The sequence below is a fragment of the Homo sapiens genome, chromosome 1, assembly GCF_000001405.40.
Source record: "Homo sapiens chromosome 1, GRCh38.p14 Primary Assembly".
NCBI lineage: Eukaryota > Metazoa > Chordata > Mammalia > Primates > Hominidae > Homo > Homo sapiens.
Genome location: NC_000001.11, coordinates 237,712,452 through 237,738,322, shown reverse-complemented (window position 1 = coordinate 237,738,322; position 25,871 = coordinate 237,712,452). Strand labels below are relative to the sequence as shown.

General features: G+C 36.6%; 1 protein-coding gene across 16 annotated transcripts in view; it reads right to left on the bottom strand.

Annotated features, from left to right (window-relative positions):
• Window positions 1-25,871, bottom strand: part of RYR2 (ryanodine receptor 2) — a 791,805-nt gene that overhangs the window by 95,666 nt on the left and 670,268 nt on the right. For 9 of the 16 annotated variants that reach the window (XM_006711802.4, XM_006711804.4, XM_006711808.4 and 6 more), the window contains 8 exons: window positions 20,955-21,125; window positions 19,802-19,861; window positions 15,061-15,195; window positions 12,015-12,050; window positions 11,124-11,236; window positions 7,967-8,063; window positions 6,174-6,277; window positions 4,567-4,618 (listed from right to left, as the gene is read on the bottom strand). In XM_006711802.4, the coding sequence (XP_006711865.1) occupies window positions 4,567-4,618; window positions 6,174-6,277; window positions 7,967-8,063; window positions 11,124-11,236; window positions 12,015-12,050; window positions 15,061-15,195; window positions 19,802-19,861; window positions 20,955-21,125 (768 nt within the window). The remainder of the gene's footprint in view (window positions 1-4,566; window positions 4,619-6,173; window positions 6,278-7,966; window positions 8,064-11,123; window positions 11,237-12,014; window positions 12,051-15,060; window positions 15,196-19,801; window positions 19,862-20,954; window positions 21,126-25,871) is intronic. The other 7 variants (XM_006711806.4, XM_006711807.4, XM_047427333.1 and 4 more) reach the window with 1 other exon arrangement.

Sequence of the window (25,871 nt, the reverse complement as noted above, 5' to 3'; positions counted from 1 at the left end):
ACTAGTGGACTAACAGTGACTGTGTATCATGAATTCAGAGTTATCATTAACCCAACTCTGTGTTCCTAAGTTTAAAAAACAATTAAAACTGAAAAACAAAAACCTAAGTAAGATATAAATGATGCCTTCCAAGGGACCTGCAGTGGTGGAGGAAGACACATACAACAGTCTCTTAAAGTGAGTTCAAGTCTCAAGTATCAAGACTCAAAGCAAAAGTAACATCCGTGGATGCAGAATGACTGTTGGTAAACCGAGAAACCATGAAGGCCAAGTGAAAGTTCCAGACAACTGGGATGCTAATTTTTAAAATGAGGAAAGACAGCTTCCAAAAACTACCCGCTAGGAAGTTCGATATTAATAATCAACAATAGTCTAAAATGGGTTATCAAGCAAATCACTGAGGAATACTCATCCATCTTTGGCAGTTTTACCAAAGTTAGAATTCGAGTTTAAGCAATCACAGTAACATCTTGATTTCTTTAAGAATCTCATGAAAGGAGATGAGAAATATGAGTTTTATAAAAGTATGTTTAGATGGATTGAAAACAAAGTAGGTTAACCAGTCTGGGAAAGGGTATAAAAATTTCAGCTGCACACTACCAACTGAGATAAACAGAGAAATCAATCACACTTAAGTTTGTGGTTAACACAAATGGAAAGAGATAACAGTGTATGACAGAATCAAATGTTAGAAAGATTTCAGCCTGGGGCAATGGTCTGACTTGAATTATAGAAATGATGACATATACTTAATTAAAAAATTAAAAGTCAACAGTATAATACAGGATAGCTGACATGACCTGGCTGAAAATTTAATGCATTCTTGCCATTGATGGCAAATGTATAAGATCCTAAGGCAGTGCAAGTGAGGGTACAGTTCCCATACACACTACGCAGGTGAGGTCGTAACTGGAATACCGTGTTTGATTAACTTCTGGGTGGCACATATGAATATACTGGAGAATGTGCCGAGTGTAACAAACTGCGTGGTGCAAGCTGGACATCCCTGAGTTACATTAAACAATAAAATGAATATGATTATTTAATTATGAAGGGGAAAATTTGAGATAAAGCATCAACAAGGTAGCCCTCCTCAAATATTTGACCATCTATCAAAAGAAACTAGATTTAGCTTTAGGATCCAACAAAATCAATATGGAGGCAAATTCAGTTTCACTCACAAGGAAGAACTCTAACAATCAGAAACAACCTATTCTTAAATCAAGAGCTTCTACCTATTCTCAAACCAGGAGCTTCTACCTGTTCAGCCCACTTCGATTCTTCAGCTGCAGAGAACACCCAGGCTGGGGGCTGCTCTACAATCTCTTTCTCACCTCCCTCTTTCTTCATTTCCTTACAAGCCACCTCCTAGCAACATACAAACCTGCTTTGATCTACTGTTCTCAACAAGAGTCTGGCAGAAATCTTCACCCTTGATGAATCTAACTTCCTGGCTTCTCAGAATTTGCATTTGGTTCTGAGAATTGCTAGTTGTCCTCACACAGCCAGGGGGAGCATTACTGCTACAAATTCGTAGACAACAGCCTAAAATAAACCAGGCTTCCTTCACAGTCCGTGAGTCCTATTTTAATTTCTAGCCCATGTGCCATGCCAATTGCCACGATGTCTCTTTCAGTGCTTCTCTCTCTCCTCCAGCCTTCCTTTGCTTCTCTCTCTCCTCTAGCCTTCCTTTATAGACTTCATCAAACACTTAGGTGTCAGCAGGTGACTGTCCTTTTGTCTTCAGAGAGAGAGCGAGCAAATAACCTTAAAAGGAAACATTTCCAACCTCCCATTATCCTGGCAGCCTTCCCTTCTTCCCTTTGTATCTTTTATCCTTTTATCTTTTTTTTTTTTTTTTGAAACGGACTCTCACTCCATCGCCCAGCCTGGAGTGCAGTGGTGCAATCACGGCTCACTGCAACTTTCCGCCTCCCAGATTCAAGCAATTCTCCTGCCTCAGCCTCCTGAGGAGCTGGGATTACAGGTGTGCACCACCGTGCCTGGCTAATTTTTGTATTTTTAGCAGAGACGGGGTTTCACCATGTTGGCCAGGCTGCTCTCAAACTCCTGATCTCAAATGATCCATCCGCCTCGGCCTCCCAAAGTGCTGAGATTATAGGTGTGAGCCACCGTGCCCAGCCCTATCCTTTTATCTTTTAACCCAGTGTTTATTAAACTATGTGTTTCAGCTCATCAATCAGACATAAAAACAATTTGGTGATTCATGATAAAATAAAAACAACTCTGTTTAAATAGAATGGAAAAGTTCAGACTACATTGCTCATAGGAAGAGTAAAATTTTGTGAAACTTTTCTTTCATGGCATATATTTTTATGTTACTTTAAACATACAGTTTTATGTTTCTATAAATATACAGTTGGCCCTCCATTGGTTCTGAATCCATGGAGTCAACCAACTGTGGATAGAAAATATTTGGAGAAAGTAAAATGGGTGATTGTGTCTGTACTGAACATGTACAGATATTTTTCTTATCATTATTCCATAACAATATGATAGAGTTGAACAACTATTTACTTGGCATTTACATTGTATTAGGTATTATAAGTAATCTAGAGATGATCTAAGTATACAGGAGGATGTGTGTAGGTTACATGCAAATACTATGCCATTAGTCAGGGATTTGAGCATTCTTGGATTTTGATATCCCACTGGGGGTCCTGGGACCAATCCCCCATGAATACTGAGAGATGACTGTACCGGGTAAATGTATTTCTTGCTGTAGGTTAGAGTTTAAAATAAATTAGAAAGCCATGGCTTTTCCCTTATGTCCTGTAACCTGTCTTCTCCAGCAGGTCTCATGGACTCCAGACCTCACTTCACAAATGATTCCCTTTCCTATTCTGTTGGCTCCTTCTCACCAGAATATATGTGTGCTTAGATGGCTCTCTCTTTAAAAACAAGCAAACAAATGGCAAACAAACAAAAATAATCCCCTTCAACCTCACAATTCCATCTAGATATTTGTTACCTTATATCTTTCTGTTCCCTCTCAATCTTTGCAATGAAGAAACAACTATACTATTTCTGTTCACATCTGAATCACTACTTACTTTCTCACACTACAGCATGTCCCCACTCCATGGCCCCTCTCCACAAACCGCAGAAGCTGTTCTTACTCTGCTTATGTGATATACATGAAATAAATCTGGAGATTTTCAATCCCTACCTTGCTCAATCTCACAGCAGAACATGATTTTGGTGACCACACAATAAGTCCTATAGCTTCTAGCTCCTATGTTAGCTCACACTTAAGGTTCTCTCCAACTTTTTTATGAGCTCCTTTCCTTCTAACCATCTTTTAATGTTCTGTGTCCTTACAGGCTAGGTCCTAGGCCTCCTCCTCTCCTCATGCTGTCATCTCTTCCTGGGTAAGATCATCTACTCCTACGGCTTCTAATGCTGATAAATTCCAAGTCTATATTTATAAGCCTTACCTGAGATACTGAATGTCAGACATGAATGTCTAATTGCATGTTTGACACCTCCACTTAGATGTCTCACAGGCATCTTTAACGCATCCACAATTTACTTTGCCTTCTTCTCTCTTCACCCCAGGCCTGTAATTATTCTGGTGCAGCCATCTCAGTACATGGTACCCAAGTGAGAAGCCTTAGCAAAACCTTCACTCCACTTTTATCCTCAATTTATCCACTTGTCAAGAGGAGTAAATGACATAAACACTCAGTAAATACTAAGCTGTACTATTTTTGCATGGCCAACTCATGGTTCAACAGCCAAAGACTTCCTTAAGCAGACCTCACTACTATGCCATGGGACCTGTTCCCAATACTCCTAAGAGTTTCTTGACATGGTTTGGCTCTGTATCCCCACCAAAATCTTATATCGAATTGTAATCCCCAAGTGTCAAGGGAGGGACAAGGTGGGAGGTGATTGGATCATGGGGACGGTTTCCCTCATGCTGTTCTCACGATAGTGAGTGAGTTCTCACAAGATATGATGGTTTAACAGTGTTTGACAGCCCCCCACTCCATTCTCTCTCTCTCTTGCCGCCATGTAAGATGTACCTTACTTCCCCTTTGCCTTCCGCCATGATTATAAGTTCCTGAGACCTCCCCAACCATGTGTAACTGTGAGTTAATTAAGCTTGTTTCCCTTATAGATTACCTAGTCTCAGGTAATTCTTTATAGCAGTGTAAAAATGGAGGGATACATTTCTCTGCCATTAAGTTCATCAGGGTTTTTCTACAACCATTTGCTTAAACTTTATCTTCCCCATCAGACAAAAAACTCCACAAAGGTGTAGTGTGTGCCCTTCTTTCTTCTTCACATGTTATCTCCAATATATTGATGTCCAGCAAATATTTGTTGAATGAATGAATGTTTAGAAAAAGTTATGGCTCCTCATAAATAAAATGTTTAAGTAGGAAACAATGATGACCTGCCATGGAATTTAGAACGGAGATTCATGCTACAAACAAAAAGTTGAAATTAATGAAATACACAGATTCTTATCCTTTTCAGATGAAAGTTACTTCCCTTTATTAAAATTAAACATGAAAATCAGGAAGGATACTTATTTACCTTTGCCATAATATCTGCATAGGCCATATATAAAAAATCTTCCTCCAGTTTGCTGGGGAAAGCAAGAAGAAAACATCAGTGTTTAAGCAGAAGGCTAGGCACATGCACACGTATCATCGCTGCTTAAAATAACCTTTGTTCTTTTTCTAACAAGTATACCTTTTTAAAATTAAATGAACACAAAACTAAGACAATATTAGGATATTCAGAAATATCCTGAAATCAGAAAGCAAAGATCCCGGGGATCCTAAATAGCTGTCCCATCTTACCTTACAGAAGGGCCTTCAATTTTCACAAAATAAACTGTCTTTTGGTTTACACACAAATGTAATAATTTTAATTTTCTTCAGACTACAAAACTTGAAACAAGCAAACTTAAATGAGGTGGGGGCTTTTGACAGAAGTGAAATTTGACATTTGATGGAAAGAGTCCCCAAATTATGATATGACAATTAAAAAACAAGATGGCCATAATAATGATCCCTAAAAATTAAGAAAGGTTAAAATATGTTTATTATCTTCTTTTTGAGAAGCATGGAAACCATGACTACGTGAAGAAAAGTTTCCACCAAAAATATACCTAAAATTTGCAAAGTTATTTCAGCAGTTTTAAACTTCAGCCATGAGAAAAATTCACTTATGAGAAATACCTCATTACCTGACAATGCCAGAGAGAGAGTTGCTCTATGCTTAGGAATGAGATGATTTTGTTAGTTAGGAAATAATAAGAGAGAGAGAAATAGTGAGAGAAAGGATAGATCACATTAGCTAAGAGGGAGAAATGTACATTATTATGGCAGGCAAAGAGGTCAAATGAACTCTTCTGAGGAGATTCATGTGGATATGAGTTTTTAATTAAATTACATCCCAAATTCTGCAGAGAATGGGAAAGGCCTGGGGGCAAAACAGGCTTTCTTTCCCATTGCAGGGCAGCAGATAAAGGTCCTCTAGCCTCTGCTATGTCCCATCTGCACAGCCAATTTATGCATTGCCCTCCGTAATGACAGATGCTGAGCACATTTTGACGATCAGGCCTACCAGTGCATTTCTTATGTAACTTCAGAGAGGTTTGCCCTTTGTGGCTTTGGTGAATTCATATGACTAAGGCTGCAGAAGACAAGAAAAATGGGCAATGCCCTTGAAATAGATCTCAGAGATACCTCCAAGTTGAGGTGATGGCTCACTTAGCCTCTAGAGGTTTCCTAAGACCCACTGCACAATGGAGACACTATCTACCCAGAAAATTTGGGGCCACCATCGGTCTCCATACACTTGCGGCACTGGAATTTGCTTTGGTTCTTTTGTTTTATTTATAAAGTTTGTTTGTGATAAACAGAAAAACCATTTCATAAGAAGAATCAGAATCAACTACATCATTAATTACAAAGTTGTTAAGAAAAACTAGAACTAGTAGGTAGTTGCTGAAGCCTAAAATTGAATGAGTGTCGGTCCCTAGGTACATGCCAGGCTGGTTGTTATCTTTGAACAATTCTCTCTCCTAACAACAACAAGATGAACTTAAAACATGAACACATGGCACAGAATACTCAGACACGGGTGTCTTTATTTGCTCCTCCTATGTCTCATAGGAACCCTCCCAACCATACCATTTCTCTGTTAAAGCTGTCCGACTAAACAGAAGGATCAGCTGATGTAGAGGATCAACTCTCTTAGTGCCTTCATCTTCTTCTGGAGGTTCAGCCCCAGGTTTCTGCAAAAAAGTCAAATTTATAAAATGTCACATTAAAAAAAAATGTTCACTCAAATCCAAAAGCACTGTGAAGGACAGCAATGAAGAATAAAAGGAATGCGAACGTTCCTCCTTCCCTGTTGTGGGGTGTGTGTGTGTGTGTGTGTGTGTGTGTATTTTATATGCATTATACATGCTATATATGTATATATGTGTGTATGTGTATATAAAAGCTTGTATGTATATGTGTTGCATGTAAGTGTAAATATGTAATATACATGCTATAACATATATAAATGTAATATAATATGCTAGATATCTGTTACATTACCATTGTAAAATTATGCAGCTCAAAACAGAGATATTTAATAATTTGACCAAAAATTAATATGAGCAGGGATAACTTATATCATTTAAAAATACCAAATGCCATTCTTATAAGCATTTTCATAACTCAAAGTATATTTGCTGCATGGATTTTAGCTTTAGGGAGGACTCGATTTACAAATATTTGCAATAAAATCCTGAGTCACCCCAAGTGTGAAAATTTAGTTCCCATAGCAGTGCAAATTGCTTATAAAGTGAAATATTTTCTTCGCTTACACACAGCATGATACGTAAATAATACTAAATGAGTTAATGCTTGAACCACTTATACTTTTTTTCTTATTTTCAGTTACTTTTAAAACTTAAAAAATATTTTTTTTTTACTATCGGATAGAACTTTAATAGCGAGGAAAATTATTAAGCATTTTTATTGGCAGAATTCAATTACATCCAACTTTTTGTTGAGTTTTATATCTCCACTGACTTAGCCATGGAAACTAATTTTCTCTGTACATGAATGGTGTTCTTTCCTGTAATTAAGCCTTAATGTGGATAATGGGCAGATTTCCACAAGATATCCAATAGTCTACACATTTTTTATTCTAAAGACAGATAAAAATCATTTTAAAATATGGGGACAATCAAGATTAGGCTTTTAAGAATTAGATTAATTTATCCATTATATTCCCTAATAATCTGTGAGTTAAAAAATAACTTTACACAAGATGTCTTTATCTTGGGAATCATGAAGCCTCTGACTAGTCTGCCAAGTTTTGAGATGGCTTGTAAATTTTGTTGAGAAGATGGCTTTTGCCAGATATTTAGATGGGTCCATGACTTAGAAAAGATGATACTGACTGCTGTTCTGTGCTGAACTCACAAGCTCTTTATCAGCACAGTCTGGTGAAAATTCTACTTCTCATGCTCCACATTTACCATGTGTTCAGTCTCCTGTGTTCAGTCTATCATTCTCTGCCCTGTTGATTTCTAAAAACCAGCAATTTTTTGTTCACCTTCTACTTAATTTAGGTGGATAACTTCTTGACAGTTCATTCTTTTATAGTCTATCCTGGTTCTCAGGTGTTTATAGGTGCTTTGAGAAGGAATTTAAAAGAAAGACTAAATCATGTTTAATTAATAATACTTCTATATTATTCATTTTAAATTCTCAACCCCTTGATGTTGATGAGATCTCTTGGAAATGACAAGAGCACATTTTCCCATAAGCATTGAATGCAGTAACAATTAAGATTTAAAAGTTTCCTAATACCCATATACTGTAATGATATTTTTTCCTTCAATGTTATATAATGACTGCTCACGCCAACATTGCTGCACCAAGCCTAGACCCTCTTTCATCTTAGAGCCCCACTAAAAACATACTGCTAAATCTTCTATCAGTTTATCTTCAAAGTAATGTTCTTCTGTTTCAATCCAAGACTTTTCATATCCCTGAAGAAAGAGATTGACAGCCCGATGCCTGAAAGGTAAGCACAATTTCAGAAAAAGGGTGTTTAGAAAATAAGTTGAAATTGTATTGAGTAGTGCTTTATTACTAGATTATCTGTGCACTGAAAGTGTAAAATAGAAATAAATTCTCTATTCTTGACTCTCCTCCTGAAAGACAATGCTTCTTGCAGCAAACATAGCGCACAGTGACTTGCATTTCAATCCTGGCTCAGTCATTTCCAAGCTTTGTAACATTGGTCAAGTGACTCGACTTTCCCAAATTTCAGTTTATTCCTTTATAAAACCAGGATAACTCCAACCACATTTCAGTTTTGTAAGCCTTAAAATGAGATAAAGGATGTAAATCGCATTGATTAGATGTTCATTAAATGACTATTATCATATAACATGTCTCTCGATAAGCAATGTAATCAGTGTCAATAGAGGACTTAGTCTCTGTCCAAGCAAACATTAAAAAACAAATGGATGGCCCTGAGGATTCCAAAACAAAAGGTATTAAGTGAACTTTATGGGAGTACATACTCAAAGATTAAACCCTGCACTACTTATCATAAATGGCCGCCTGTGAAAAAAGACCAGTGCAGATGAGAAGAATCAGTGGAATTCATGATGAAGTTAGTAAGAGATGTGGATAAGATGTCAAGGTAAGAAAGAATAAAAGAATGTCATGAAGGGAACATCATAAAACAACAACAGATGTGATAGAATGAGAGACGGTGCCATTGCAGGATGGAAAGCTGAGCTTTATGATAACAAATTGGGTTAAGGACTCATGAGACGTAACAGTTAGACAGGTTTATGAAGGGCCTTGGAAATCAGAGGGGGCAACTGCCAACGCAGCCGGAACTGCTAGAAATCATCATACATTCTTGTATGTGAGAGTGGCATGCCAAAGCACAGACTCAGCCTTCTGGGTTCATCAGAGTCACCTGTGTAGCTTTTAAGTAGCACACATGCTGGGCTCTCACTGAAATTCTAATTTAATAAGTTGAGGCCTGAATACTTTTTAAATGAGTTTAAGTGTGTTTCTTAAAAGCACCAGGTTGGCGAACCACTGGAATAAAGGATACCATTTTGAAAATGACATTTTGGAGAGGATGGAAGAACTCTATGACATCACAGAAACTAACTCAGAAACCACTGCCATCAACTTGATATGAGGCAAGGAACAAGCGACTTGAAGAGGTGGTGATGGAGGGAAGGATGGGAATGTGAAGTAGTTCAAAGGGAAACTGATGAAATCTGGGCAATGACAGTATAGGAGTAACCAAAAAGAAATGATAATGTGAATTCAAAGTTAATATTCTTTTTTTTTGCTTTCATTACTTTAAGTTCTGGGATACATGTGCAGAATGTGCAGGTTTGTTACATAGGTATACATGTGCCATGGTGGTTTGCTGCACCTATCAACCCATCTTCTAGGTTTTAAGCCCCATATGCATTAGGTATTTGTCTTAATACTCTCCCTCCCATTGCCCCCACCCCCCGACAGGCCCCAGTGTGTGATGTTCCCCTCCCTGTATCCATGTGTTCTCATTGTTCGACTCCCACTTATGAGTGAGAACATGTGGTATTTTATTTTCTGTTCCTGTGTTAGTTTGCTGAGAATGATGGTTTCCAGCTTTATCCATGTCCCTGCAAGGGACATGAACTCATTCTTTTTTTATGGCTGCATAGTATTCCATGGTGTATATGTGCCACTTTTTCTTTATCCAGTCTATCATTGATGGGCATTTGGGTTGGTTCCAAGTCTTTACTATTGTGAACAGTGCTGCAATAAACATACATGTGCATGTGTCTTTATAGTAGAATGATTTATAATCCTTTGGGTATATACCCAGTCATGGGATTGCTGGGTTAAATGGTATTTCTGGTTCTAGATATTAAGGTTAATATTCTATCTGACCAAAAGGTGACAGCATAATTGAGTCAGAGAATTGAGAAGTAGCACATTTGAGGAGGATGCTAATACATTTTAGACCCAGTGAGTGTGACACGATGGCAAGAAATACAGCTGTCTTAGCAAAAGGGAAAAGTATGATGTTTCCTCTATTTGTTTTGCTTATGTTTCTTTTTTTTCTTTGCCTTATACATTCACTCAAACTCTTACTGAATGTCAATGTACAAGTCACTGTTCTAGGTGCTGAAGAAAGAAAATGGAACAAAACTAGTACAGGATCTCAAAGTCTGAATCAAAGAGACAAATAGCCTTAATACTGTAGGAAAGTGGTATGATGTGCAAGGAGTAGAGGGGCATGGCTTGGTCAGAGATGTTCCACAAAAGAGATGTAGCTGAGCTGAGTCCTGTTTCTGAGACATAGAGGTGATGCAATTTGTATAAACTTCAGAGTGGGAAAGAGCATAGTTTCTCAGAGAACTCCAAGGTGACTGAAATGGTACCCTGGACCACCTAAGCCAGACTTGAATGTACCAGGCTACTTCTCTATTAAGTATGTCTGCTCTATGTCTAAGAGAAGGTTGACGGGCCTGTCAAATCTTTTTACATTATTCCCATAAGTCAGTTCTTTTCCCCTAATGCTAATAATTACAAAAATAATAATAATGACTAACATTTATCATGACATAAACCTACTAGCTCACTTCTAAGCACTCTGTATACATCAACCCATTAAATAATCTGAACAACTCTATAAGGCTGATCCCATTATGATACAGATGAGAAAATTCGCCAGTAAATAACTTGACCAATGTCATGGGGCAGAGAAGTTGGGAGGTCAGAATTCAAATCAAGACAAGTCTGATGCCAAAGAATGATTCAGATCATGTTCTGATTCAAATCCAGGACAAAGAAAGAACTCCTAATGACTCTCTCTTGCCTCACATATGTGAGCAGATATTCCTCAGTAAGAGTCATTTAATAATTACATTAAAGACCACAGTTCTCCGAAAATATCCAACAAAATTAGTCAAGTTTTATGTAGAAGAATCAATAAAGCTTTTCCATCCTTCTCTTGGACTATTGTACCCCTATTAAGGTAGATTCTAAACACCTGTCACTTACTAGGAAAAAATAACATTGATCTATTACAAAAAATAAAGTAATTCCGACCTTGGCAGATTATATAAGGGGGCCATCCGGAAGCAGGCTACAACAGCCCTTTTCCTCTGCTTGGACAGTAGTTTATGCCATACAGCCTTTTTAGATCTCTGAGGATGTTCCACCTGAGGTAGAATGACACAAATAAATATTTACACCCCAAACTACCTTCAAAAACAAATAAATATTTACACCCCAAACTATCTTCAAAAATATAGTATTAAACAGTTGCCCCTCTTAAGTAATCTATATTTGGAATTCCAATTCCAAAAGTACCTTAAGATTATCATGAAGAAGTCCATATCCTAAAAGTTACCCAAAGATAAAATTTAGATAGTTGCAAATGCTATATAATTCCCTTAGTAAGAATATCACATTTTCCCAATACTGTGTACTTCAAAGCTATGTCACCTCTAAAATCAAAGAAATAGAAAATCATTCCATATAAAATCATTTTATCTCCTTCTCAAAATTTTCTTTGGTTCTTTATGATTTTAATACATATTTTCTGCCTACATAAAATATTACCTCATTCTTATTCATATGTCCATTGTAACTAATTTTATTGTAAGAGCTAAAGTAATAAACACAAAAAGAGACAGTTAATAAAAATTCTACTATTCTTTAATACAGCAGGATAAAGAGAAGAAGACAACGCTTTGTGAACACAGTATTAGGAGTGAGTAAATTTGGTAAAAATGTTAAAATATGTAAATATTTTGTTAGATAGGGACAAATATAAATTCAAAAGTTGCAATAAATGATGCAAGCAAGTTATTTATATAACTAATAGTGTTTGGAACTCTAAGAGAAGAAAGAGATTAATTGTATTAGAAAGAAAAAATCCCAACATATAAACCTAAATTAATTAGTAATCTCTAGGCCATTGAGCACTGTACTTCCCAGACAGTAATGTCTCCGACCCACACGTTTAGACTTCTGAAAGAAATAAAAATGTTATGTTAGCTAAAAAAGTAAAACTACATTTATTATCCTTTGCAGTAAAGAGTCAAAAATGATTGTAATAATGTCTGAAGTAAACATTTAAAATGTTTGGACTGCGGTGGTTTAGAAATTTTCACGAGGCAACTTGTTTAACGGAAAAGCACTTATTTCTGTGATGCTCTTCCCCCTCTATGATCAATAAACACGTGGTGACAATTATCCACTTCAATCATCTTCTTGATGCTTGTGTCAAGTGAAATAAACCACTGTTAGGCCTTTAACATAGAAGTAAAAGCAATCAAGGGCAATAGTTTTCAATGAGACCCAACATACTTCAATTTAAATTTCCATTTTGAGACCCCAGTCTGTAGATGATAGCTTTTTACAGGAATTACAGCATTATGATCAGCATGGGTGACAGTTGACAAACATATTTTAAGTTCCTAAGGCATTTAAGATACAGTAAAAATCCAACAAAAAGGGTTCCTGCCACCAGGAAGCTTATCATTTGGCAGGCATTTTATTACCTGCCTATTAAAGTATTTCAGGAAATACCTGAGTGTGCTTTCCTCTAAATCAATGATAAGTAAATAGTTATCTGTGAGATATGTGATCCAAAGGCGAACACAAAGATGTACCTTGTAACCCTGTCTGAATGTCTTGATGTGCTGATGTGTTAGCTTGGCTAGAATTTGATTATTAGAAAATTCAATGGAGATAACCTACTCTCATAAGAAAACTTACCAGATATACAACACAAAATATACATCTAAAACAGGCTGCTGATACTTGAGATAAATTAAATCAACAAGTGTTTCCTGTCCACCTACTGTTTTTTACACTGACGTTTGCAAGTTAAAATATTCTTTGCACGCTCCTCTGTGACTCAGTCACATGTTATCATTAGCAGAGGGATATTAAAGGCATAAATTAAACACGAGGATATCTCCCACTTTTTATTTTTGATAATCGACAATTTCTTTTAACTCAAAACCCTCCTCTCATGATAAACCAATCTCGCCATATTCTTAACAGTTTGAAAAACTCTGATCCTCCCACTTTTTCTAGATAATTCCTACCTTAAGACTTATACAGGGATTACCTACTTCATATCTACATTAAGTATGGGTTGCTTCTATACTTTCTTCAGCACATTTTATATCCTAACAGCTCCGTATCATCCCATATTTATCTGTTTAAGTGTCTGTTTCCTCTCTTACAGCACTCAGTCCTCCAGGTCTGCTGGGGATAAGGCTGCCCTAGGACAGGGAACTCCATAAACATCCAAGGCATAAATGGATACTTAGAAAAGTGAACCTCATTTGAGAAATGCCATCATTCATCATGATTGGATATATTTATGAATATATGGGAATATAATAAAATAGAATCAGTTTCTATAAGCTTCATTTAATGTATCTAGAATTTATTCAAGCAAATCTATATATATGTATAAACACTAGGAAGAATTAAAAACTGATGGTAGAGCAATGCTGTCAGAAATGTAGCCATTTAATTAACCTTTAATAATCTTAAACATATATATATATAATTCTGGAGATAAAACTCTATGACTTTATATAAATCACTTAAAATTTCATGACAAGTCTTGTCATCTGCTGATTGATGATAATTTGTATTTATTTAATATTTCATGAAAATATTACGTAAGTTATTCAGGGGAAAGTATTAAGTTCCAAGGTATTAGATAACGTAAATATATGTTAATAGCCATACAGCTTAAGGGTATCCTAGTGACTTTAATCTCATCAAGTGTAGTGATAAATTGCATGACAATAGAGAAATTATTAACGTTTGGGGGAGGGTATTTGAGTAAGCAAGAAGGAAGTTAAAAGGATACTACATTAGATGATATCTTTGCATTATTAAACTGTCCAGGGCAGGGGTGAGGGTTCAGATAATATAAAACAGGAATACAAGCAAAATGTTTATTATTGCTATGATAATATGTTCAAATATGGCTAAAGGCAATACAAAATTATATATATATAATTTAATTTATCATCTATGAAATTTATCACACATACATATATATATATATATATATATATATATATATATGCACACACACATACATTTAGGTGGCAAAGTTCCTGAGATGGCATAGGGCATCTTATTATTATTTTATATTTAGTATAAAATAACCAAGTCATCAACAGTATGATCTGTCATAAGAGCCCTGTGACAGATCAGATGGTCAAGTTACAATGAGCTTCTTCACTGTGATTATTTTGCTGAATGGACTTGATGAGAAATAGATAATATATCTCTGTGTTGCAGATATTTTACCTAAGCCAGATGATCTCTTCTGTAAAAATATGACCCTCCCATTGATAATGTTTCAAGTATTCTTGTTTTACACATTCTTGTGCAAAGGTAATGAATATCAAACTGAGCTTTGTAGTGTAAAGTAGGACACAACTGAAAAAATATATAAAAACACTTTTCTTACATGATTTTAATATCTATCAATGCATTGTTCTTCTCTAAGTGTAATTTGTTCCTGATTTCAGAGAAAATTAGCTCAAAAATATACCTAATAAAAGGCAAGGTTAAACAAGTGGCAAAAAAGAAAATGTTTCAAATATTAAACCGGTAAAAGATAATATCTCAAACATGTTTTTATGAGCAATATTAAAAAATGAAGTATGCATAAAGTATTTGAAATCAGATGTAACTCCTGAATTTTTTGGTTAGAATAATTTAAAAATATAATCCTAATACTTTCAGAAATATTTGAAAAAAGACAACAAAACAAAGGCCAGGATCTCCCAAAATATATAATCTATATATTGCTACAAGATTTGTAAGCTTAGAAATTGTCTTTATGAAATACTAAGCACACCGGACTCTTATTCTTTAGAATGAATATGCTGAACATATATGTTTCTTGGGTCATAGTTAACAAATTAACACACATTCTCTTTTTAAAATATTTGTATGTGGCTAAGGCAAATATGATTGAATTGACACAAAGCCTGACCTGTTCAAGATGAAAAAGCACATTTGCTATATCCAATACTCTTTCTACCGTCTTCTCTGGATCTGAGGTATCATCAGTCCTGTTTGGTAAGTCTTTGTAAAGAGCCATTTGCCATCTAATAGCAGGATCCTCCAACTGCAGAAAAAAGGAAAAGGTTACAATGGGAAGATGGGAATCTAAAAACAAGGTTACAATCTAAAGATAGGAAGAGTCCACCCATCATTATTTATTGGGCTTTACAGTGTTTACCAGTTAAGACATGACGCGCAGCTGCAGTTATGTAGGATGAACAGGTCTGGAGATCTAATGTACAGCATGGTGATTACAGTTAATAATGCTGCAATTCATACTGGAAATTTGCTGAGAGTAGATTCCAGGAGCTCTTAGCACATACAGGCAAAAGGTAACTATGCGAGGAGATAGATATGCTAATTTGTCTGACTACACTAATCATGTGACTATGCTTATGTATATTGAAACATCCTGTTGGACACCTTAACTATATACAATTATTAAAAATTAAAAATATTGGCCAGGCACGGTGGCTCACGCCTGTAATCCCAGCACTTTGGGAGGCCGAGGTGGGCGGATCATGAGGTCAGCAGATCGAGACCGTCCTGGTTAACACGGTGAAACCCCGTTTCTACTAAAAATACAAAAAATTAGCCAGGCGTGGTGGCGGGCGCCTGTAGTCCCAGCTACTCGGGAGGCTGAGGCAGGAGAACAGCGTGAACCCGGGAGGCGGAGCTTGCAGTGAGCCGAGATCGCGCCACTGCACTCCAGCCTGGGCGACAGAGCGAGACTCCATCTCAAAAAAAAAAAAAAATTAAAAATACTAAGAAAGACAGATAAAGTCCTGGTCATCATGAAATTTATCATCTAGTAGAGAAGACAGACATTAAACAAATATTTAAAATTGTGATAAGGGCTACTAAAACAAAATATAAAATACCGTGAGATTTATCATACTCTTTGGTGGTTGGGTAGATTTCCCTTAACACAAGACGTTGTAACTAGGGCTTAAGGATGAGTGGGAAACTGGAAAACAAAATGGGTAAGGCTACCCATGCTCTTCTCCTCCCCATTCACAGTCTAATTGTAGAAAGATTTCTATGTTTACTTTTATGGGCAAGGATATAGGATAGCATTTACCTATAAATATTTGGACTCTACAACAGCGCTTAATTTCACTGAGGCAAAGATATTAAATTATATAAATCAATAGATGTTTTTAAAATCACACTCATCATAAAGGAGTCTACACATTTTACTTTTCAATAGCATCAAATTTCCTTGGTGAAAAACGTATATGAAATCTTCATGTGTTTAGAAACATTATTATAAGTCATAGAAATTGACAAAAGCAAGCAATTTAATGGGGGTAGAACATATCAGTTCAAAGAAATAATATAGAATAAGTATGTTATTAAAAATGGACAAAGCAGCCGGGCACGGTGGCTCACTCCTGTAATCCCAGCACTTTGGGAGGCCAAGGTGGGTGGATTACTTGAGGTCAGGAGTTTGAGACCAGCCTGGCCAACATGGTGAAACCTCTTCTCGATTAAAAATACAAAAAATTAGCTGGGTGTGGTGGTGCACGCCTGTAATCACAGCTACTCGGGAGGCTGAGGCAGGAGAATCGCTTGAACCCAAGGAGGTGGAGGTTGCAGTGAACCGAGATTGCACCAATGCCCTCCAGTCTGAGTGACAGAGTGAGACTCCATCTCAAAAAACAAACAAACAAAAAACGGACAAAGCAATCCCCTTGTCTTCTACTTTAGAATCTCCATTAGAAATGGGAGACTGAATGTTATGAAGCAGAAATAAATAGATGACATCTAAAACTTCACAACTCCCAGACTGAGAGTGCCTAGTTAAAATGTCAGAAATAATTTTCATCTACAGGCAAACACAGACAGATAGAGCTTTGTATAGGGATAAATGATTTGTAAAGACTACTTATCCTTTGATAAAATAAAATGTTTTCATCCGTTTACTTTTTAAGTCTGAGGACTATGTTTGATACTTACAGGTTTTAATCTGTACTCTTAGTTCTATTTAATACATAATTAATAAAGTAGAATCTTTATTCTAACATAAAATTACTCCTCTGGCCTCAGGATGAACAGCCCTACAATTTCAAGACAATGTATTCAAGAAGTTAGGAATAAAAAAATTCATTTTTTGAAAATCTGTGTATCTCATTAATATGCCTGCCTAACTCCTAGTTTAAGAAAGTGTAGAATAAAATGACAAGATGAATATTTATTCATTACCTCTTTATTTTCAGGTCTTATTCATTTGGAGGTGAAATATGGACAATCAATGTTTCCTTTTTTGCTCTCTTCCTTCTTCCTGTCTCCTGAATACGTCATCTAAACTGTCCAAAATATTCTTACAAGTGACCTTTAGAATATAATGGACAAACTTCTTTCTGCTTATAATCATAACCACCTTTATTTGACCATTTCTTGAGATTGGCCCAGACTCCTCTTAAGAGGTACTGAGCACTCTCTGTCTCTAACTCAGTAATTGTTGAACTAGATAATGGTGCTCCAGGTATGGTCTAGGGTCCCCTGGGGATCCCCTGCACCCTTTCATGGGGTACCTGATCTTCTCAAATACCCATGTACATAAAAACATTTAGTGTCTCTCCCTATAGGGGAAAAATGTTTGTAGTGTAAACTTTTCTTCTGAAGTTCCAATAGAGGCTTTATAAACTTTTAAAAAAATGTTCAAATTCTTCTGGCTATCTGAAAAGAGATCATACTCTAATAGTAATTAATCTCACTCTAAAAGAATTGTTAGTAAACAACTGAGTACACATCAAACTTCACATGAAATTTGCTCTGAATGAATACTTGTGCATTGTGAATATGGTAAAGGCATGTCTCACCTTTATCTTATTCTTTAAAATGCTAATTTAAAAATCATATGATTTGGATCTTTGGAAAGAGACATTTTAATACCCAGAAAGGCATATATTATATTGTTGTTGCTACTTTTTGACATTTGCGTATTTTCATAATTAAAAAAAATTCCTCAGAAGGGACACCCAGAATAGAAGACAACAGGCTGAGTCAAAATACTAGCTTGACTTTTAAAACTGCATCACAGGTTTTATAAACAAATGAATAATTTATTCAATGGTATAAAAAATTTCCAAATAATAGTAAATGGTCACTGGATTGCCAAAACTACTTCTAACAATTCTTTCACCCACCATTAAAAAGTAGGTGTTCTATCGATTTCCATCCATGTTTTTATTCCAACTGTACACGCTTCTCTTCTCCTTAGGTAAACTCACTTATTCCTATTGCTGCAAATCTCGATATAGCCTATTGATATAGTGTGGATCTGTGTCCCTGCCCAAATCTCATGTGGAAATGTAATCCTCAGTGTTGGAGACGGGACCTGGTGGGAGCTGAGTTGATCATGGGGCAAAACTTTCATAAGTGGTTTAGCAGCCTTATGTGGAAATGTAATCCTCAGTGTTGGAGACGGGACCTGGTGGGAGCTGAGTTGATCATGGGGCAAAACTTTCATAAGTGGTTTAGCAGCCTTATGTGGAAATGTAATCCTCAGTGTTGGAGGCGGGGCCTGGTGGGAGCTGAGTTGATCACGGGGCAAAACTTTCATAAGTGGCTTCGCAGCATCCCCTTGGTGCTGCCCTCAAGATTCTCGTGAGATCTGGCTGTTTAAGTGTGTGGCACCTCCCTCCTCACTGCTCTTGTTCCTGCTCCTGCCAGGCGAGATGCCTGCCTCTCCTTCACCATCTGCCATGATTTTAAGCTTCCTGGAACCTCCCCAAAAGCAGATGCCCGTGTTATACTTTCTGTACAGCCTGCAGAACCGTGAATCAATTAAACCTCTTTTCTTCCTAAATTACCCAGTCTCAGATATTTCTATATAGTAAAGCAAAAATGGCCTAATTCACCTATAGACTAACGACTCTTAAAAATATATATTTAATTACTGATCGCTCCATGTAAATTTTGTGTTTTTTGAGACAGGGTTTCCCTTTGTTGTCTAGGCTGGAGTGCAGTGGCACGGTCTTGGTTCACTGCAACCTCCACCTCCCAGGCTCAAGCCATCCTCCCACCTCAGCCACCCAAGTAGCTGGGACTACAGGTGTGCACCACCATCCAGCTAATTTTTGTACTTTTTGTAGAGGCGGGGTTTTGCCATGTTGCCCAGGCTCAAACTCTTGGGCTCAAGTGATTTGCCTGCCTCAGCCTCCCAAACTGTTGGGATTAAAGGTGTGAGCCACTGTGCCTAGCCAACATTTTCTTATAGACACCTTCTCTACGTCCAAAAGACCCTAAAACTCCTCTATCAAGAAGGACAGCATTAGGAGATATACCTAATGCTAAATGATGAGCTAATGGGTGCAGCACACCAACATGGCACATGTATACATATGTAACAAACCTGCATGTTGTGCATATGTACCCTAAAACTTAAAGTATAATAATTAAAAAAGAATACATCCAATCTGTATTTCAACTGATGACATATATTTTTTCCAAAATTTGACAATCTCTGGTAATTTTCTTTAAAAATATATCATTTATTATCTTTAGAATTTTTAATACAAAAGGCTTTGCAAGTAGGATAATGACTAATTAAAATATGTCTATTACCTTAATGTTTAAAGTAACATTATTTATAGTATTATTTTAAAGAGAGATTAACTAATGTATAGGTAGTAAATGTGGCTTAAGAATAAAATTTGGCTTACCTTGCCTTGTAAATGAATATTGCTGCGGATTATATCTCGTACTTCATCCTCGGTATCTTTCTGTCAAGAAATATATGTTACCTAAAAGGAGTCTTCTATTGCATCAACTGTCACAAGTCAATAGAAACAATCCAAACCTTTTTTGAAATAGTATACGTCTGAGAAACATCTTTATAAAATTACATGCTACAAATTTGGGGCATTCTCATTCAAATAATTTCTTGGTACTGCTGTAGCCTGAAGCAAGGTAATGACCTGCTTTACCTCCACAGTAAGGACATTGAAATTCAATGGAATCAAGTTTCCAATTCATAAGAAGAAGGGGGCATAGCATGTTTTCTTGGGCTGAAATAGAAGTATATCTCCAGTATTCTTCCAAATCTCCACGAAGTCATTTTAGCCCTTAATAACATCCTCCATGACCCAGTAATAGCAAGGAAAATGCAACTGAGAATCAAACTCTAGAGAACTGCCAGTAGAGCTGCGTGATGCAGCCCACTCCCACAGCTTCCCCTCAATTCACTCATTTTAGAATGTCAAACGATGCATGTTCAGTGACGAGCTTCAGTGATTCAATGTGGAATGGAGAATATGTCCTCCAATTTACATAAATATAAAATAGAAATTCCAATGTACAAAATATTGCATCCTCATTTGCATAGCTATGAAGAACAGAAACTCAGAGGACATTGTAAAATCTTGAGAACTTAAATCTTGCAGAGGAACTTAAATCTTGCAGAGGAGAACAGCAGCTGATTTAAAAGTCAACACCTTATCTACCCACAGTTGGCACAATATATTATGCTTTTAACATTGAAAAATCACCCTTCATAAATTTGAGTATGCTTCTCATCACAAACTTTATATAGAAGTTTATATGAAATCCATTTTTTTCACTACCAGAGATTGGTTTGTGTCTTTCCTGTTTGGTTCTTGAATGTGTCCCGGAGGTGATTAACATAACTTACAAATAAAAACAGCCTCAAAAAAAGAGCAGTCTTTATGTTTGAGTCTTGGGCCTGTCTAGAAAACCTGCTTAATAAAACATGTAATGCAAATGAAATATTGACATAGGGCAGTGAGACAAAGGAATCAAACACTGAGAGTCTGGAGGTCAGATGATCATTACCGCTGGGATGAAAAGGAGACTTACCAGGCTAAATCGATTTTTGGCCAGAGCAATGAGCTCCTGGTCCCCAGGGGCACAGATGTTCAACCCAATGGGCAGTAACCGCTTCAGAGCTGCTACAATCAGAGAGGTCTGCATGGAATACCGATCTCCTTTGCGCTTCATTTTCTTCCTTTCCTGATCAGAAACAGCTGCCTATGGAACAAAGAGAAGTGCTGGGATCTGAACCTGCTTTTCTCACATGTAGAACCACTATGACTCTTCCCTAACTTGTCACTTCATCTTCCTCATTTTCTGCTGCTCCCTAGTTTTGAAAATCCTCCTGTTTTGAGAATAATTTTTCTCTTCCCTTCTTAGTATCTTTTGCTGATTTCAAGTCCTACCCTCAGATTCCTAGGTCATTATAATTCACTGGTATGCATTCCCACGTAATTTTTAGAAGACAAATGAAAATTGTAATTTTAGGGAAGCAGATAAATATATAAAAAATTCTATAGTAATTTCAGATATTGTGTGCTTTCTAATTTTCAATGCTTAAGAAATATAAGAATAAAGGGCTTATTTTTGTTTTGACAAATGCTTGCTTTGAAATATATATACATGTATATGGTGTGTGTGTGTGTGTGTGTGTGTGTGTGGTCTAATATATCAGAACAATTATAAAATGCATTTTTCTTTTATACAGTCTGCAAACTTGTCTTCCTAGAGCCTCAGTCCCCGTCTAGTAGAAATAGAAGTAATATACTCATTGGAGTTTCATAAATATTCAGGACGATCTGGATAACCAGTTTACAACTGAATACTGCCATGTTACTCAAGGGCTCTCTTGTGATGTTTTTGAGGCTTATGCTAGTAACACAGGGTCACCTTAAACGACAGAATCTAATTTTCACTGGGTAATGAGTATTCTATCAAGATGGCATGTTCTAATGTCAAAATTAAAATAATTGTCCCACATCCACTTATTTGTGCATGTTGAATATTTTGTAGCAGTAATTCAAAGTTACAACATAGTTTCGTGATAATGAAATGATAATGAAAAATATTTTAATATTTATAAATATAAATACATTGTAATAGTCTTGGGCTATTGAGAAAAAACATAATAGAATTTAATATACAAATGATTTGTTTTACTTAACAGAAGGTAAAGTGTATCATAGCATGAGGTTGAAAGACATTTTTACCATAGTGAAAGTAGTGAAACAAGTGAGTCACCATATAGCAATGATAGCTTATATATTACGTTATAAAATATACAATTATGTAATAATTAAACTACATATTGAAGTGTTATATTAAACCTATAATCTTCTGAACCATAGCAGTAAGAATTATACTTCTGTTCCAAAAAGATATGCTTATTGCATGAATCCCATTTTTATACATACCAACTTGTAAGAGATTATTCTCAGTAAGTTTATTAGAAAAAATATGATGAATAATTTGTACTGTTAAATTGACTCATTCATTAAAAAATGGATCATTTAAAATGGGCTCTTTGTTCAAAGGACAACATAACTAAAATGATAAAAATAATTGCCCAAAGGAAGAACCACTATCCTAAAAATTAAGCAAATTGATATAAATTATACAAACATACTTCTATCCAATACCGGTAATTTAGTTTCAGCAAAGCGACATCCCCAATATAGTCTAAATTGTATTGGTTTGGAGTTTTCTTAGTCTAAATTGTATTGGTTTGGAGTTTTCTTAGTCTAAATTTATTGGTGTTAGAGTTTTCATTGATTTTAACCTGTAAAGTTCTTTTGGTTTTATGGTTGTATAGGCAGAAGGAGCTTATATCTGGTTTAATATTTATAAATATTTGTGAGCTTATAATAAAAATAATCAACACTAAACACATCTACAAATTGCTCAATTTTGAGTAACACTAGGCAAATGAATTCCTACTTATACACAAACAATAATTTTGCTTTCCACCCCAGAAGAAATCTATAACTGGAAAGAGTAGTAAATATTTGAACATTTATGGGTGATGTCACTGTTCATATGAGGAAATTAAATCTATAAGCAATAAAATATCCTCCTGTACGCACATATTGGGTATTTTTTGTTCATTTGTTTAGTGCCTATTTCCTCCCCAAACTATGCAGCTCCTTTGGGGCAGCTGCCAAACCTGTTTTGTCGTTTCTCTGTATTCAAAGCCACGCACTGTGCCTTGCTCATAGGCGCAGCTCAATAATTTAAACAGAGCCGCTAAAGCTAATGAATTTGCACACTTTTTCATTTTCAATCTGTGCATTTGGATCAGATATGAAGATGTAATAACATGGCCCATATGTGGGCATATTTAAGAAGGGAAGTGGACTAACCTGAGCCCTTTCTTAAATCAATCACCTGAGCCCTTTTTTTTTTTTTTTTTTTTTTTTTTTTTTTTGAGATGGAGTCTCGCTCTGTCACCAGGCTGGAGTGCAGTGGTGTGATCTCGGCTCACTGCAGTCTCCATCTCCTGGGTTCAAGTAATGCTCTGCCTCAGCCTCCCAAGTAGCTGGGATTAGAGGCACCCACCACCACGCCTGGCTAATTTTTTTTTTGTATTTTTAGTAGAGATGGGGTTTCACCATCTTGGCCAGACTGGTCTTGAACTCCTGACCTCGTGATCCATCTGCCTTGGCCTCCCAAAGTGCTGGGATTACAGGCGTGAGCCACCGCACCCAGCCACTTGAGCCCTTTCTTTAATCAATCAATCAATCAACCTCTGCTTCTGCCTCCTCTCTATCTCTGTCTCTCACACACCCACAAACATACAAATATGATTGTAACAATTTCACAGAAAATAGCTTTAAATTTAATAGTGGACCAGGAAAATGGCAAGAAAGACATCAAACAGACTCTTCTTCAAATATACTGTTAGATTTGAGCAAAAACAGTGCTATGGCTGCATAAAATGGGTTATCAGCAGGCTCCTCCACCCTCTCTCCTTATGACCCATCTAGAAAAGACTCATTTTCCAAGACCTATTCAAATCCTCACTTACCTCTGACATCTTTGACTATCCTATCAGTTTCTTTCTCTCGTACGTTTTCTAAGTACTTATTAACTATATGATTGTTAGATATTCAGCTGTATTTTAACTTTATCATTTTGTTACTACAATTCATATCTATTAAAATTTGTTGCATGCCTATAATCTGTGAGGCACAACACACACATTATTCTGATTTTACAAGCCTCCATCAAGGTAAGCAGCATGACAAACATTTTGCTGCTACGAACAGTGAGGTTTAAGATGAGTGAAGGGATTATGAAGTGGCAGAGTCAGCACTCCAGGCTGATCTGCCTCTGAAAGCCAAGCTCTTTCCTTTGCCACATTATGAACAGAAAGCACAGTTTTAATTGGTTGTATTTATCACATGACCTTTCTGTGGGAACTTACAAAAAATTTTCTAATATTCCCACAATGAAATAGCCTACCAAAAAAAAAAACCTATAAAAAGATACTTTTTTGTATTTTAGATATAGTAATTATAAAAATTAGCCTAGCTTTAAATGTCCAAGGCCTGTGATTACATTTCAACAGGAAATGAAATCTTAAGAAAAAAACAGAGTACAATTGTATAATGCAACAGGCAAAACCCACCTTTCTCACACCCACAAATAAACACAGAGAACTTGTAATAAATGCTATCTACCTATCTATCTATCTATATATATTTTTTTGAGATGGATTTTCATTCTTGTTGCCTAGGCTGGAGTGCAATCCAGGTACTTTGGGAGGCCGAGGCCGTCAGATCACGAGGTCAGGAGTTTGAGACCAGCCTGGCCAATATGGTGAAACCCTGTCTCTACTAAAAATACGAAAATTAACTGGGCATGGTGGCATGCGCCTGTATAGTCCCAGCTACTTGGGAGGCTGAGGCAGGAGAATCGCTTGAACCCAGGAGGCAGAGGTTGCAGTGAGCCGAGATCGCACCACTGCACTCCAGCCTGGGCAACAAAGCAAGGCTCCGTCTCAAAAAAACAAAACAAACAAAAACAAAAACAAAAAAATAATTTTTTAGTTTGAGAAAATTTGTGGGTCAGAAATGTTAAAATTGAGAGGTTCTTATCTATTACTCCCCTTTTTTCTTCTTGCAAATAAGAGCAAACTGTGTTATAATCAGTCATCTTTATGCATGTCTCACTCTAGGTTCTATGACATGTAGTGCTTTGAGAGTATCTTTGAGAATCACTGGACTCAACTGATGGAAAAGAGGGAAAAGGGTATCTGTACAGGAATACACAGACTTCTGGCATTAGCTTCTAGTTCATGTGCTGTCGGGTCAAACACAGGGCATTCAAAACTCTTAAACAAGACTAGGCCTACCAAGCAATACCATTCTACTTCCCTTGTGACAGATCACAGAGCAGGCCTGAGGATCCGGTGACTTTTGGAGGTCAGTGGAGTGGGTGTACCTAAGCTACTCTGTTGCCAGAATTTATTGAGTCAGTAGAGGCTAATTTGCTCTGCCTGAGTAGCAGTCATTTTTGGATCTTTGGCCATTTGGCAGCCAAATGTTACCACATGTAATATATTTATTTCTCATTTAGCAGGAATTAAACATATAAAGCCCCTTTAAAATGCTTTAAATGGAAGCTACTCCCCTCCCCAATACGAGTGACAGAGAAAACAAAAATCTGGAAAGATACTTCCCACTTCATGTGTGAGAACCTGGAATTCGTCCATGTGGCTTTTAAATAATGCAGCGAATTTATTTTGAGGTCTGTTTCTTTGGTACACATAAGCACACAAATATTCACACTTGATGGACACATAGTGTTGACATGTTAAACATACATTATACTGACTTTTGGTGAGTGGGGGGTGCGTGTGTGTGTGTGTGAGTGTGTGTGTGTGAAGCATGTCTTTATTCTGTTGCTCTGACATCTTGGAGATTTGCTGATCCTGGGGAGACAGCAGTCCCTCCCATCGTTAGG